Here is a 17,051-nt window from a genome sequence, read left to right as displayed (position 1 = left end):
TGAATCAGTCCAAATTTAATGATATGGGGCCATTAAGCAGATATTCTGGTTTAATGTTGCAGCTTCGGTATTTAAGGATGGTATTAGTGGTGTTATGACTGGTTGGCTGAAATATAGTTCAACAGATGTATGACCATGAGCAAGTCGGTGACTCCCCCATCTTCCCTGTATTATGTTGGATGAAGGAATTCATAGGCCTGGGGAGATAGGAATGCTAGAATGGATTTGCCATTTAAAAGCCACTTACAGCAGGGCATAGTGGCTCATGCCTGTAATCCCAGCACTTTCGGAAGCCGAGACAGGTCCATCAGTTCAGGTCAGGAGTTTAAGACCAGCCTTGCCAACATGGTGAAACCCCATCTCTACAAAAAACTACAAAAATTAGCCAGACATGGTGGCACACACCTGTTGCCCCGGCTACTCAGGAGGCTGAGGCAGGAGGATGGTTTGAATCCAGGAGGCAGAGGTTGCAGTGAGCTGAGATCATGCCATTGCACTCCAGCCTGGGCAATAAAAGTGAGACTGTCTCTAAATAAATAAATAAATAAATAAATGCAACTTATCCATATCGATAGACTCCAGAAAACATACACTTTATCAGGACTTTGTTAGGTGGATTTGTGAGGGGAGGCTGGGCACAACTGAAGAGCTCCCTGATCTCTCTTCTCTGTAGACCAGACCTTAATACAGAAACCACAGTATACCAACTGGAAAATCAAAATGCAATGGGAATAACCCGGTTTCAGGGAATCTTGGGAGCAAGTAGCAACACTCAGTCTTCAAAGACCAGGTTGGCATAGTTATGTCAATGGACGACAAAGGCAAAGCAACAATCAGGTTCATCGATTCCTATAGATTTATGTTGCTGGCTAGTTTATAATAGTGTTCTTGGAATTGAAGTACACAGGTAGCCTACTAAGTGCTTACTTGATTTGAAGAAGCAGAAAATCTTTAGATCAAATGAACAAGATTCTGCCTCAAATCCTAAAAACCAGAGACTCATAGAACCTCACTCAATTCTCACAATTGAGCCAGTATAGAAGAAATTTTGTATGCAATTAAGTTAGCCATAATTTAAAAGGAATTGTTAATAATACTCTTTCTAAAGAATGGTCCCCTATGTTAAATCAAGATTTTTTTAAGGTATCAATGTACTCTTAATAAAATTACAATAAATTTTGATTTTATATTCTATAATATACCTCTTTTGAAAACTTCTGAGATTCATATCTCAAATGTTCAATTGTTGTCTTGCTGCTATCAGCTTTTTCTCCCTTTGATGTGGCCTCGGATGATAACTCTATCCTTCAGCTTCTTGTCAGCTCCTGTAACTTTTCTCCTTAGTTCTAAATGTTGTTGTGGCTGATGCTGAAATATTTTATCTTAGAGGTCTATAAAAGAAATATTTTCCTGCAGGATAACCTGATTCTATATTCTTGGGTTTTTGTTGTTGTTGTTTTTGGTGTGTCTAAATTTTCACTGTAATCAGGAAACTTATCATGCAGCTACTAAGAGTCATGTATTCCCCAGTTCTATTCAAAACCTTGTACACACTCTTCCCATGTTTGATTAAATTCAAGCACTTTTTATCTTAAGTTGTACTTCCAGATTATCTACACAGGCTTTCCTCTAAGGAGAGGCAGTCACACTGAAAAAGGTTTTCCTTTGACTTTCTGGTAACTGGCTTAAGAAACAAGATTTTACGTTTTATCAAGATAGTTCCTATGCTGCCTTTATTAAGCGTCTAATTGTTTTTAAAAAACCCCCGAAATTTGAAAGGAGTAAGGATTTTATACCCGTGTAACTTTTTCTATTGCCTTTAAAGTCTTTCAGTGATCACTTTGTTAAATGAATAACTATTGTTTTACAAGGACCTGTGGTTTAGTTTTGATGAAATATTTTAAGCTTTCTCACATCTTTCACAGACATCTCCAAAATTGAATCCTAAATTAAGTCTCTGACTTCTTGCTGGGGCTTATCAAAGCTAAAAAACATTAATCACTGTGAAGTTTATCACCAACTCCAACACTCTGAAAAAGTTCTTATTAGGTGCTATTAAGTAATCTTTGTGGTGTTAAGGTACAAGGAATTGACTCCTGGATACATGTAGGTCCTCTCAAGAAGACACAGACTCCTGCCAGCATCTAACATCAAACTCGACTTAACCAAAGCCTCATCTTTAGACTCAAGCAAAGGCAATAATCAAAGTACACTGCTTTCATGCAACACAGGGACAGGCATGTATTATACTTTAATAATTTTCCTTCTATCTGAAATAGAAATATATGAAATATAATTTATTCTGTACCTTAATACTAAATAATTTAAATGTTTATCTACCTATAGGCTTCCTTTCCCGTCACTCATTCTTTTTTTTTGAGACGGAGTCTTGCTCTGTTGCCCAGGCTGGAGTGCAGTGGCGTGATCTTGGCTCACTGCAATCTCTGCCTCCCGGGTTCAAGCAATTCCCCTGCCTCAGCCTCCTGAGTAGCTGGGACTACAGGCACACACCACCATGCCCAGCCATTTTTTTTGTATTTTAGTAGAGACGGGGTTTTACCATGTTGGCCAGGATGGTCTCGATTTCCTGACCTCGTGATCCACCCGCCTCAGTCCTGTTTCTCTTGGAACAAGACAGGGCTTACGGCATTTTTGCTTAAAACGTTATTAATGGTGAATATTTTGTTTTATTAATATATCCAGGATTTAAAACTCTTCAATTTCTCCAGACCCAGGGACTATCATGGAAGGTATGAATGCATGAGATTGTAAGGGCCAGTTCTTGTGGAATAAAATTAATTCACACCCCCCAAATAAAGGATGGGCATACAGATGCCTAAACAGCTAAATAAAATATTATGTTTTCTATAGCTATGGTTCCTATAAGCCAAGATTACAACAGCTCAATGCATAAAATTCAGAGAAAATTCAGTTATATAACCTTACCTTTTGACTTTTAGTTTTGGCTCTTACATTGCTGAAATGGGATTTTAAGGATTAATGACAGCCTGCCGCATTCATTCCAGTCTGGCCTACAGACTGGAATTGGATATAATTGGATATAAGACTTCTGGTTCTAAGTCCCTTGGCCATAGTGGTCGCCCCAAGGAACATGATGGACACAGGTCAGGTAGCACGCCGCTCTGCCATTGACATGAGAGAAAATAAAAGTGTGGCTACCCATACTGCCTCTGGCATATCTTGACAAAAAAGGAGAATATAAACTATAAAATAAAGTCCTAAGCCCCCACCAACTTAATGGACACTCCCTACACCCATGTTAGCCAAAGCAACCTGAAAAACTAATTCAGGCCATGACAACAAGAGGGGTGTTGAACAAGCTTCACTACACCTTCCTCCCATTATGGGAATTTAGGCACAACTGATCAGCATTAACATTACAATAAAAACTGTAAAACAGACTCTTTATAACAATAAAATACCAAATTATGAACAGGACTTAAAAACATGCCAGGCAAGGGTTAAGTCTCACATTCCTACACTTTAAAAAAGCAGACTATGTTTACAACCGCCACAAGGTTTCTGTGTTTCTCTAGCAGCCAAGCAAGCACTAGCCTCAAGATAAGCTGACTGATCCCAGCCACTGTTCAACCAGCCATAACTACAGATTGAAGTAGACTAGAGACTAATTTCAGTAAGTATCTCCTGATAAACGATCACTCACCATAAACTAGTTTTGGCCGGTTTACAGTAAATGCACACTTTTGTGCCTTTGTCCTCAGAAGAACTTTTGAAATATAGGGTATAATTATAATACATTTAAAAGTTAAGTCTCTGCTCCAAAATAAATAAGTCATATGTTCCATGGATATTTGTTAATACACATGGGTCAGGACCACCTTCACGAACATTTACAACTCCTCCTGTAGCCTGTTAAGTATGTATAGTTAACCAACTTGTCTTCGTATCTCCACAGGAGCTCTGGGTACAACTGACATTTGGGGCTTTGCACTATAATTAAGACTAAATGCTGTGTGTACTTCCTGGGTAACTCCAGAAACATATCCTCAGCCCTAAAAGACATGCACAAGCAAACTAATGCTATGTCTAATCTCATGATGTCTTTAAACCATATGGCTTTAGATATCTTCACCGCAGCCAAGGGTGGCACTTGTGCATTCATTAAGGCTGACCATTTTATACACACACACACACACACACACACACACACACACACACCAGATTATTCTCACAATATAACCCAAGCTATACATGTAGATACCCATATTTCTGTTATAGATGCCCTCTCCCAGGACTCTATGGCACCATGATTTAGTTGGCTTCCTGGTGCATAAAATACTTTTATATATATTATTAATACTGTTAAGTGCCCTCTTCAGCTGCTATGAATTTTATTGCTGTTGTACACTCTGCATGGAGATGCAGGAAATCATTCTAATAAATTCTTGGATCCTCACACCATATATGCACAGTAAGTTCCTGCTGAAAACTCAAGAATATTTCCAACTCTAGGTAAACAGATTCCATTCTGATGCTCTATAACTATGCCCCCTTTCAGTAGGAAGCAGACCAAATGAAGATGATGCTCCAATTGAATAAAAATAAGTAGAATTTGACAGTGGGGTGTTGTAACCAAGTACTTCATTTTCCTTAAAAAATATTTAGTTTTTCTTTTTCCTGTGTGTTCATGTCTTACCTAGCTCCTTAGAAATGCAAATTCAAACTTTTCCCTCCTTCCTTTCCACCAGCCAAACCACCAGCAAGCACTGTCAGCTTAGCTAAGTATATGTTTGTTTAGAAATTACCAAATCTTGAACGAAAATAAGCATCCCCCAGAATTCTCCTCCATAGAGAGATTGTCTCAATACATCAGTTAATCCTCAACCTGACTCTGTCCCCAGTGATGCTGGGCAGGCTAAGGAATGACCCAAGACTAGAGATAAGTCATCCAGCAAGTCATGTAGATCCTACACCTCCACACCCCTTCTGCATGCCCTGATTGCCAATATTTCTTCTTAAAACCCTGTTTTCTCCCCAGAAACTTATATGGTTCCTTTAGATACGAATCCAGCCCTTCCACATTGCTAAGCTCTGGAAATAAAGTGACTTTCTCTTTTTTTTTTGGAGACGGAGTCTCGCTCTGTGCCCCAGTAGCTGGGATTACAGGCGCACAGTACTGTGCCCGGCTAATTTTTATATTTTTAGTAGAGACAGGGTTTTACCATATTGGCCAGCCTGGTCTTGAACTCCTGACCTCAGGTGATCATCCCGCCTCGGCCTCCCAAAGTGCTGGGATTACAGATGTGAGCCACCGCGCCCGTCCAGTGACTTTCTTTTTACTACCCTTCTGTTACTTGATTTTGGAAGTGGCCATGGCCAAACCTGGGTTTGGTAACAAAATGGTGCCAGGCTGTCGTACGACAGATGAGGGGCACTTTTTTCCTTAAAGCAGGATCTGTCAATTCTGTATACAGCACTGAAGCCCACAGACCCTGACTGCTGCCATACCTAGCAGGGCAAGTGCCCATCTATTATTACATATTCCCATAAAATACCAGTGTTTTTGCTCTGTTGATTGCTCATGTCTCACACATCTTGAACAAGTGTTTCCAACCCTCGCATGTTTTTTGACTAAGACAACAAAAATTAAAATCTAAAAGGAGCATAATCATGAAAGCCTTTTGAGAATATTAAGGTAGGTGAAAATGACAATAAACAAAAAAATTGAAATTCCCTTTTTACAAGTCAATGGCACAAAAGTATTTTCTGATTACAGCACTCAATGTACACATTTTCTAAGCTGTATTTTTTATATCTCTGAGAACTAAAACCAAATTTAATAATCACTCATCAAAACTAAGAAAAAATAATTTCTAATAGAATAGGTGATCTGTACAAAGAAATGTCATGTACACATTTATGGAAGTGAGGTGGAAGGAATTATGGAGTCCAGGCATTGTCTAAATATTTGTATAAGGAGAAGATAAAGCAACATCATGAAGTTCACACCTGCACAGTTAGGAAGTGGTTGTTCCTTCTATTCAGACGTGAAGTGTTACTGTACCGCTACACAAATCAATACTTTGTTAACCTTCCACACGTACAGCAAACTAAGCCATATAATGGAAAGTTTCACACATCTTTTTAAGCATGAGGATCTGAGCCAATTTTGCCTTGTGGCTTCCAGAACAGTTTCTGTCCTTCTCCTTTTCAACCAGAGACATTTCAGAGAAAATTTGTACAAAAACATAAAACAGAGAATGTGTAACATCTGTCTTTTCTAATAAAAGTGATATTCACATTCAGTTTAGGAGAAATATGAGAAAAGATTAAAATAATTAAAAGTGTTCATTGAAAAATAATTGTGAATGCATTTTTAAAAGAGGAATAAAGACCTTAAATACACAACACAAAAATAAAAATTTTTAGATGATGTTTATGAGAACAAAAAAAGAAAAAATTACATCCAAGTGTTAAACACATTTGCACAACAAATCATATCAAAACCAGGATAAACACTACAATGCAAGAAATAAAGTCTTAAGGTATCACTGGTCAGCCAGCAGAATCAGTACTGAATAAACTCAGCCTTATTCAAAAGAACTGAATTCCCCACCTCACCAACAGAAAGGACAGGGAGCTGCTGCCCTTGTGCATGGAGACCCCAGACAGTGTCTCTGAGCTCAGAGGCTCCCATGTGGCTTTGATTTTGGTGGACATGGTCCGGAGGAGAAACAATCTGTCACAGGGGCATCTACACCAGTGCAGGAGGTTACTATGGGTGCATCTCAAGGTTTTCAGTACTACTGGCTGTTGCTGAAAGTATACATAAAGTGGGGAGTGGTGTTGGGGGATTGTCTAAGATTCACAAGGATATTAAGGGATTTAAGAGTCTACAGCAATGTTCTAAGTTCTAAACCAGCCGGGTGTGGTGGCTCACACCTGTAATCCCAGCACTTCAGGAGGCTGAGGTGGGTGGATTGCTTGAACTCGGGAATTCGAGATCAGCCTGGGCAACAAGGTGAAACCCCATCTCTACAAAAAATACAAAAAAAAAAAATTTAACTGGACATGGAGTTGTGCACCTGTGGTCCTAGCTACTTGGGAAAGTGAGGTGGGAGGATTGCTTGAGTCCAGAAGTCGAGGCTCCAGTGAGCCAAGATCTTGCCACTGTACTCCAGCCCAGGTGTAAGAGCCAGATCCTGTCTCAAAAAAAAAATTAAAATTTATTCTTTTTTTAAAAAAAGTTCTAAACCTACAGCTTTACTCAAGGTACAGCTGAAAGTATTGGTGTAGGTGCAAGACATGCAGGTTGTTACATTTTTTACTTCATTATAGAGAAGTACCGTGGCTAAAAGAAGAGGCTCTGGGACAGGCACAGTGGCTTACACCTGTAATCTTAGCACCCTGGGAGACAAAGCAGGGAGGATTGCTTGTGGCTAAGAGTTCTACACTAGCATGGGAAACACAGGAAGACCTGGTGTCTACCAAAAAAAAAAAATTAATTAACCAGGCATGGTGGCTTGTGCCTGTAGTCCTAGCTATTCAGGAGGCTGAGAGGGGAGTATCATTTGATCCCAGTAGTTCGAACACAGAATCTGCTCTACGATTGAGCCACTATACCCTCACTGGACAACAGGATGAAATCTTCTCTCTCTCTTAGAAAAGAAAATATATAAAGCAACCTCTGGAGAAAAAATTATTGTTCTAAATAGACTCTCTTAATAATAAGACAGTGTGGGCTAGGTGCAGTGACTCACACTTGTAATCCCAGCATGTTGGGAGGCCGAGGCGGGCAGATCACCTGAGATCAGGAGTTCGAGACCAGCCTACCCAACATGGTGAAGCTCCATCTCTAATAAAAATAAAAAACAATTAGCCGGGTGTGGTGGTGCACACTTATAATCCATTACTCGGGAGGCTGAGGCACAAGAATCGTTGAACCCTGGAGGAGGAGGTTGCAGTGAGCCAGGATTGCACCATAGCACTCCAACCTGGGCAACAGAGTGACTCTGTATCAAAAAATATATATATAATAATAATGATAATAATAAGACAGTGTGGAATTTGCACAAAGATAGAAGAAACAACCAGTAACTTAAAAAATAAAAACAGAGCTAGAATGCACACATATACATATACAAAAATTAATTTATACATTGATGCATGGGGGAAAGACCAATTTTTATTAAAGTGTTCCAGGAAATTGAATATCCACAGGGAATAACCAAGATCTGAACTTTGACCTCACATACACACAAAATCAATTCTAGTTGGTTCATAGGCTGAAATATAAAAATAATATTCAGAAAACAATTTAGGAAAATATCTTCATGACAGAGGGTAGGCTGAGCTGTCTAACGAGACCTGAAAATTATTTACCATGTAATACAAGACACATTCTACATAGTCAAAGTGAGCAAAGACTCTGGGGCAGACAGTATCAAACTCAAGGTTCCTTTATACCTTTCCTGCAGAAAGTCAGCTCAGACTCCAAAATGGACCACAGATGTGAAAATCATGCTTACTTCTTGAGATGTCAGTGTGGATTGTATGAAATGATAACATATAAAGCTTGTAGTGTATTATCAACCCTATACTAACCCCTAAAAATTAATTTTCTAATAAATTGTGAGATATATCATTTGTGTATTGTAACATGTCATTATTTCATACACCAGAATGGAAGAACAAAACCACTAACAAATGAAGAAACTAGTACTTTTATCACTTATAAATAAATCACATAGTAATAACATAAATACATTACAATTACTGGAAAAAATATTTTCAATGTGCATACATGTGGATATTTGTCTTGTGTCATTCCTACATGGGATGGAACATACAAGAAAAATACATTGACAAAGGTTTTCCTAAATTTTCTCTCATTGAGATGTAACTCTCCTGAATCACTCTTCAACTCATCTGCTCATGATTTTCCCCATATTATTATCACCTGTGCTAATCTGACGCTTTGGTGATGCTGCACTTCTTGCGAGATTCCTATGTTGCTCCTGTGAGTTTATCTTTCCAACCGTCTGAAACCCCCTATGCAAGACATGATGTTGATGATATGACCTGAAGATGTCAATGGAAGGTTTATAGACCAAGCTCATGTATATGTAAATGAGGACAATCACGTTATGGTCACCTTCTCGTCAATAATGTTTTAACACTAATAAATTTAAGGTGCATCTGTGCTTCATAAAAGTGAAAATGTGCCCTCTACGATGAATGGAATACACTGTCCTCTGTGACTGCCCATTTCTCAGTGTTAGATTATGGTGGCTCATCAACTGTATTCTTATCTGTTATTGAAGAAACATGCTTAAATCTTATCACATAAGTTTACCAAGTGTATTTACATTCTACATAGCTATTAGAGACATTACAGTTATTAGTGGAATTCTATAATTCTTCGGTTATGCATGGAAATGTAGTTTTATGAATTATGGTTTAAGAAATCCATTGAGGAAGAAGATAGAAATTATAAAGAGTTACTTGAAAAATTCACTCGAGTGATAGCTTTCTAAAGACCTAGAAAAAGCTGTATCTTGAAACTTCCCACTGCAATCTTAGGAATTTGACCAATGACCCTTGTAAGCTTCATTATAAATTCCATGCTTTCAGCTATAACATTTATGTAACTCTTTTTTCTTCATTCCCATTTGCTGTTTTAACCATATGGTCGGTGATCATAGAAATCACTTGGTAATTAGTCACTGCAGAAGTAGATGCATAATGGTCTTTATAAAATGTTTTAATCTGCCCCCTTGCTACTTTGCTCAACCCTAATTTGGGTACTTGGATTTGAGGATTGCTTTTGGTTTTCCCTCAGGAATATACTGATTGAAGAAGAAACACATAAAGTATGAATTTCTATATACCCAAAATGCAGTCAACCTCCTAAACTATGGGAGTTTCTTTATGTGTATGCAGAAACTCACATACAAAAACAAAAACTCACATAATTTAGGAGGTTGACTGAATTTTGCCCTACAGTTTTAAATTCCAGCAAGGCTAAATTAAATAAAGATAAAGTCATGCTCTCAAATATCCAAGACATTCTTCCATTGAACTCCAACTTCTAATCAGGTTAGAGCGTGGAAACAAAGTGTTGGGTGTTTGCCTCATGATCTGGTCTAGAATTTGGTTTCTCTTAAATGGTATCTCTTTTAGAATTGTGGTGTCCAGGCCAGCCTCTAAGGAACTGTTGGTTTAAGATATTGTGGGAAATCACATCTTCCATGCAGCTAGAGTTTGTCTGGAGACTCATTGCTCAGCACTTTGTCAGCTGCTTTCTCCACTTACTAGCATCCAACTGCAAAAAATCTGTTGTGTAAAAGATTCATATACAGGTCTCTGCAAGTAGGGACTGGCCCAAACCAATTTATTAGAAACATTTGTTGTATTCTGCTTACCTGCTACCTTGGTGGCTTTAGGGTTGGCAGTGGGCAACTTAATTCCACAAAGTGAGTGTCAACAGAATGCACAGTCCCAAGTGATTCCTGATAGAGTCTGTAGAATCAAAATAGCTAAATTAGAACATATTTTTCTGAAATGTTTGAAGGTACAGTTGTCTTTTGATTACTTGAAGAAGAAATCCCTGTACCAAGAAAACATTATCCTGAATGCAGAAATATGATTTATGTTCCCTGTCACTGAAATTTCTTATTCTTGCCTTCTAATATCTGAGAGTCATATCTCCCAAAAATGCTTCAGTGGGATCCTGAATATACACTGCGAAGTGATGTCTACACATGGGGATTTCCGGGATATGTGAAGGAAAGGCAACTTTATCTGAATAAGTGGTTTCTGACACTCTAACTGCTAAGTGCGTAACGGAGAAGGAGAAAAAGGATGACAGTCCCTGGAGCTTGATGGTGCCTTCTTGAAGCAGGTTCACCTGGGTTTGGAAAGGCAACTAGATAAAAAAGGCTAGATTGCTTTTCTCTCTGTATGTGCCCATTTGTCTCTGGAAGCCAAAGTTTTTTGCTTGTGTCTTTGTTTTCTTTTAAAAAATATAATAATTTTAGAAAACAAATTTATTTTGAAATAATTGCAGATTTACAAAAAGATACACAGGTAGAACAGACAGTTCCATATACCCTTCAGCTAACTAGAATGTACTATTCTAACCATAGTATATTCATGAAAACTAAGAATTTCACTGTTTCAAAACTATTAACTGATCTACAGACTTCCTTCATATTTTACCAGAATTTCTTTTTGTTATATTTTGTTTTGTTTTTGAGACAGAGTCATGCTCTGTCACCCAGGCTGGAGTGCAGTGGCGCGATCTTCGCACACTGCAACCTCCACCTCCCGGGTTCTGGCCATTCTCCTGCCTCAGCCTCCTGAGTAGCTGGGACTACAGGCACCCGCCACCACACTTGGCTAAATTTTTGTATTTTTATTAGAGAGGGGGTTTCACCATGTTAGCCAGGATGGTCTCAATCTCCTGAACTGATTATCCACCCGCCTCTGCCTCCCAAAGTGCTGGGATTACAGGCATGAGCCACCACACCCAGCCTCAGAATTTCTAATAATGATATATTTATCTGTTCAAAGACCTAACCCAGAATACCACATTGCAATTACTTTCAAGTATATTACTTATGACTTGGTGCATAACAAATTCCTACACATCTTAGTGGTTCAAAACCACACACATATTACTCACTGTTTCTCTAGGTCTTCAGTCCAGATGTAGGTGATGGTCCAGGCTAAGGCTCAGCTGGGGAAGGGTCTCCTTCCAAGCTCATGTAACTGTTCTTAGGATTAACCTCTCTGACCTCATCAAGAAGAATTCATTAGTGAATTATTAGAATGACTTAAAAAATTAATACTAATTTATTACAAATTATTTCAAAAAAGTGGAGAAGGCATGATTTCCCATTATATACAGAGTTAGTTTACTCTGATACCACAACTAGACAAAGACATTTCAAATATGGAAAATGAAGAACACTATACCTTATGAATACAGGGGCAAAAATCATCAAGGAAATATTAGTAAAACAAACCAGAAACATGTAAAAAGTATTATACAGTATGTCAAGGGTATTTACCTCAGGAAAGCAAAATTTGGTTCAACATACAACTAGCGTTATGCACTATATTCATATAATAAAGAACAAAAACCACATAATCATCTCAGAAGACGCATAGGCACTTCAGAATTCTCAAAATCCCTGAGAAAGACATGCAGCAAATGAGGCAGATAAGGGAACTGTCTTCCTTTTAAAGAGGATCCATGAAAAACCAACATACCATCATAAGTTATCTGAAAGGTTCACTAATTTCTCCAAGATTAGAAACAAGACAAGGATTTCCACTCTTGACACTTGTTTTCAACATTCTACTGGAGGATATAGACATGGCAATTAGTCTAGAAAAATAAATGTAAGGCTTCCAGTATGGAAAGGAAGTCAAACTATGTCTGCTGGCATATGACCTGATCTTATGTATAAAATTTCCAAAGGGCTTTAATCAAATATGGTTAGAATTTAGAAATGAGTTCAACAAACTTACAGTATATAAGGTCAATACATATAAAATCCTCTGAATTTCTATATGCTAGCAATTAAATTCAGAATGTTCCATTCTAAAACAATGTTCAATGTTCCATTCTAAAACAAATTCAGAATGTTCCATTTGAGACGGCATCAAAAATGAGTTTATCAAGTTAAGTATATGATATATACACAAAAACTATAGAAAACATTTTGAAAAAAATGGAAAAAAACCTTTGACTATTCATTGCTTATAAAGGTTAATGTTGTTAGCCTGGCAATATTTTCCAAATGGATCTATAGATTTAATGCAACCTCTATCAAAATCCCAGGTGACATTTCCTTTTTCTAAATTCACAAAGTTTATCTAAAATTCATATATAATGCAATAGACACAGAGCAGCCTAAATAATTTTGAGAAAGAAGAAAAAAGGTTGGCATGGGAGATACATACTTCCTGACTTCAAAACTCACTGCAAAGTAATAGTAATCAAGATTTATGGTACTAGTATAAGAATATAGATGTTGATCAATGTAATAGAATATAATGTTCAAAAATGAATACTCACATTTATAGCGAAATAATTTTATAATGTCACCAAATAAATTATATATGGATAAATATTTTTAATAAAATATTTCTGAAACAAGTGCATATTCCATGGAAGTCGAACTCCTGCCTCACACTGAAATTGACTCAAAATCATCATATATCTATATATAATAGCTAAACAGGCCCAAAATATAGAAAATATCACAGGAATGCATCTTCGTGGTCTTAGGTTAAACACTCTTTTCTAAGATATGATGCTGAAAGCAAAAGGGAAGAAGAAAAAACAGGTATATTAAACCTCATTAGAATTTGAAACTTTTGTGATTCATGCTACACCATCAAAAATAAAGACACCCAAAGAATGAGAGTAAATATTTGCAAACAAAAGCAAAAATTGGCAAATGAAATCTAATTAAACTTAACAGCTTCTGCACAGTAAAAGAAAACTATCAACAGAATGAACAGACAACCTACAGAATGGGAGAAAAGTTTTGCAAACTATGCATCTGACCAAGGTCTAATATCCAGCATCTATAAGAAACTTAAACAAATGTTCAAGAAAAAAAACCAACCCCATAAAAAACAGGGCAAAGGACATCAACAGACACTTTCAACAGACGATATATATGCGGCTAACAATCATATGAAGAAAAGCTCAACCTCACTGATCCTTAAAGAAATGCAAATCAAAACCACAATGTGATACCATCTAACACCAGTCAGAATGGCTATTATTAAAAAGTCAAGAATTAACAGATGCTGGCAAGGTTGCGGAACAAAGAAATTACTTACACACCGTTGGTGGACGTCCAAATTAGTTCAACCATTGTGGAAGGCAGTGTGGAGATTCCACAAAGACCTAAAAACAGAAATATCATTTAACCCAGCAATCCCATTACTGAGCATATACCCTAAGAAATAAAAAGTGTTCTACGAAGAAGACACATGCATGCATATGTTCATTGCAGCACTATTCACAATAGCAAGAATATGGAATCAGCCTAAATGCCCATCAATGGTGGACTGCATAAAGAAAATGTGGTACATATACACCATGGAACATTACGTAGACATAAACAAGAATATCATGTCCTTTACAGGAAAATGGATGGAGCTGGAGGCTATTATCCTTAGCAAACTAATGCAGAAACAGAAAACCAAATACCGTATTTTTTCCCTTGTAAGTGGGAGGTAAATGACGAGAACACATAAACATACAGCAGGGAACAACACAAGCTGAGGCCTATCAGATGGTGGAGAGTGGGCGGCGAGAAAGCATCAGAAAAAATAACTAATGGGCACTAGGCTTAGTACATTGGTGATGAAAATAATCTACATCAAACCACCATAACACAAGTTTACCTATGTAACAAACGTGCACATGTACCCTGAAAATTAAAATAAAAGTTAAATTAAAAACGAAATATTTGCAAATTTTATAGGTGATAATGGTCTACTGTTAATAATATATGACAACATCCTAGAGCTCAAAAATAAAAAGGCAAATGTCTCAATCAAAAATGGAAATTATTCAAATACCCAATTCTCCAGAAAAGCTATGGTCATATCCAAATCACATGAAAAGACACTCAATGTCTTTTGCCATTATGAGGTAGGACACCGGCAAGTTGTTTCCTAGTCACAACCCTGCTGATCAAAACAAGATCTGGTCCAGACAGCATACAGTGAAGAAACTGGCAAAAAGAGACACAGGGATTCCTGGTTGTCCTCATTGCTCACTGGCATGAGACATTCCCTCCAGCGCCATGATTGTTTACAAATTCCATGCCAGCAACCCAGAATTTACCACCTCTTTCCATGGCAACAACCCAGAAATTACCACTCCTGTCCTGGAAAGTTCTGAATAACCTGCCCATCAAGTTTCATTGATCCACCCCTCAATTTACATGTAATTGAAAGTGGGTGTACCTTAGTGTAAAGATAGTTGACAAGGGCCCATAGGTTACCAACCGATGCAATGTCTATGAATTAGCCCTGCTCTTTAAGAAGCAGTCCTGTTCAATAAACCATTTCTGTCCATCACCACTGGCTTGCCCTTAAATACTTTCCCAGGCAAAGCCAAGAACCCTTCACTGAAGCCCCAAATTTGGGGATCACCTGTCCTGCAACAATAGGGGAAGGGAAGTCTAAAAAAACATGATACATACTTCAAAAATCTAAAAGGTATCTTGCTATGTGACAAAATATAAGTTGGAAAAGGCAAAATACTGTGTAATTCCACCTACATGACTCTCTAGAAAAGAAAAAAAAGTATAGTGATAGCAAAGAGTTCAGTGGTAACGAGGAGCTTGGGAAAGAGAAGGTGGGATGCGTGAAATACAGGAGGTTTCTTTGGGGCAGTGAAATTACTCTCTCTGATATTGTAATGGTGGATAAATAATAATGTTTTCTGAATCCTGAAGAACTTTATAACACAAACAGTGCATTTAAATTATGCAAATTTAAAACCTTATTTAGTAGGTAGAGGGTTTCCAAGGAGGAATGCCCAAAAAAATAATATAACTATGTAATGAATGTATGGAATAGCCTCACTAAAGAAAGTAGAGGAAAGCAATGGACCTAAGTAATTTGGGAAATAAGTGGACATTCTGAGGCTAAAAGCCAAAGTATTTATACCTAAGTACTGTACTTTACTTGGTAAAATTGTCTCCCATTGGGGTATAAGTTACCAGTTCTGAAACCACTCTGCATGGATGTTCAGGTAGTACGATTAAGTGAACAGCATCAACTTCTTCACAGGGAGAGTAAGAGACTACATACATCATTCACATGGTGCTGGATTAGATCATATGGTATTGGAAACATTAGTAGAAATTATACAATCATACAATTAGCCTGCAGTACAATTAAATGCACAGTTAGCCTGGAGCACCTAGTAGTGGTTAAAGAAAAGAAAATGCTAAACAACAACAAAACCAACCAACCATACAACATTGAACCTTAATTATGTGGGTATTTCAAAATTATACCAGAGACAACTAAAAAACCTTCCAATAGCCAACCATGGAACAATTTGAGCAATCAAATAAATTAGCATATGTAAAGTGTAAAATAAACATCCATGTTGAGATGATGATATAAATAATTTATGTATAAATGAATAAATATGTAATGGAATAGACACATGTTTATGGTTGAGGGTTCAAATATATTTGTAGACATTCTGCCAATAAGAAGGTAGATCATGAATACCCACTTTTTTTTTTTTGAGATGGAATCTGGAGTCTCGCTCTGTTGCCCAGGCTGCAGGGCAGTGGTGTGATCTCAGCTCACTGCAACCTCTGCCTCCCAGGTCCAAGTGATTCTCCTGCCTCAGCCTCCCGAGTAGCTGGGAGTACAGGCACGAGCACTGTGCCTAGCTAATCTTTGTATTTTTAGTAGAGACAAGGTTTCGCCATGTTGGCCAGGCTGGTCTCAAACTCCTGAACTCAGGTGATCTGCCTGCCTCAGCCTCCAACAGTGCTGGGAGTACAGGCGTGAGCCATCGTGCTTGGCCCATGACCCCCACTTCTTGAATGCGTGTTGTTTTAGTGACTTTGTTTGGAAACATTCTATGGGGAAAGGGAAAAATAATAATAATTTCACAGTGTTTGATAATTTGATAAAAACAACCTCATCTAGGTGATCAAATTAACATTAACAATGATAAAGCCTGTTGAGAGCCTGTGCCCTTGGTATGATGTGAGGAGAATGGCACCTTTCCTCTGTCATCTTCCTCTCCTAAACCCACACATCTAGTCTTAACATGAAAAAAACCTCAGAGAAATCCCACATTAGGAATGTCAATGTCATCAAAAACTAGGAAACTCTAAGAAACTGCAACAGTCAGAGAAGTCTAAGAAGACATGATACCTAACTGTGCTGAGGTATCCTGGATGGGATCCTGGAATAGAAATTAGACATTAAGTGAAAACTAAGAAAATGTGAATAAACTATGAAGAGTGGATAATGATACTGTTTAAAATTGGTTAATTGTG

General features: G+C 37.7%; 1 long non-coding RNA gene across 1 annotated transcript in view; it reads right to left on the bottom strand.

Moving 5' to 3' along the window:
- The window catches only part of LOC105370733 (uncharacterized), a 440,742-nt gene that overhangs the window by 76,724 nt on the left and 346,967 nt on the right, over nucleotides 1-17,051 (bottom strand). The window lies entirely within an intron of this gene.

Source organism: Homo sapiens, chromosome 15, assembly GCF_000001405.40.
Source record: "Homo sapiens chromosome 15, GRCh38.p14 Primary Assembly".
In the NCBI taxonomy this organism is placed as follows: Eukaryota; Metazoa; Chordata; class Mammalia; order Primates; family Hominidae; genus Homo; species Homo sapiens.
Note: the sequence above shows the minus strand (reverse complement) of the source record. Positions and strands in the feature narration are given on the sequence as shown.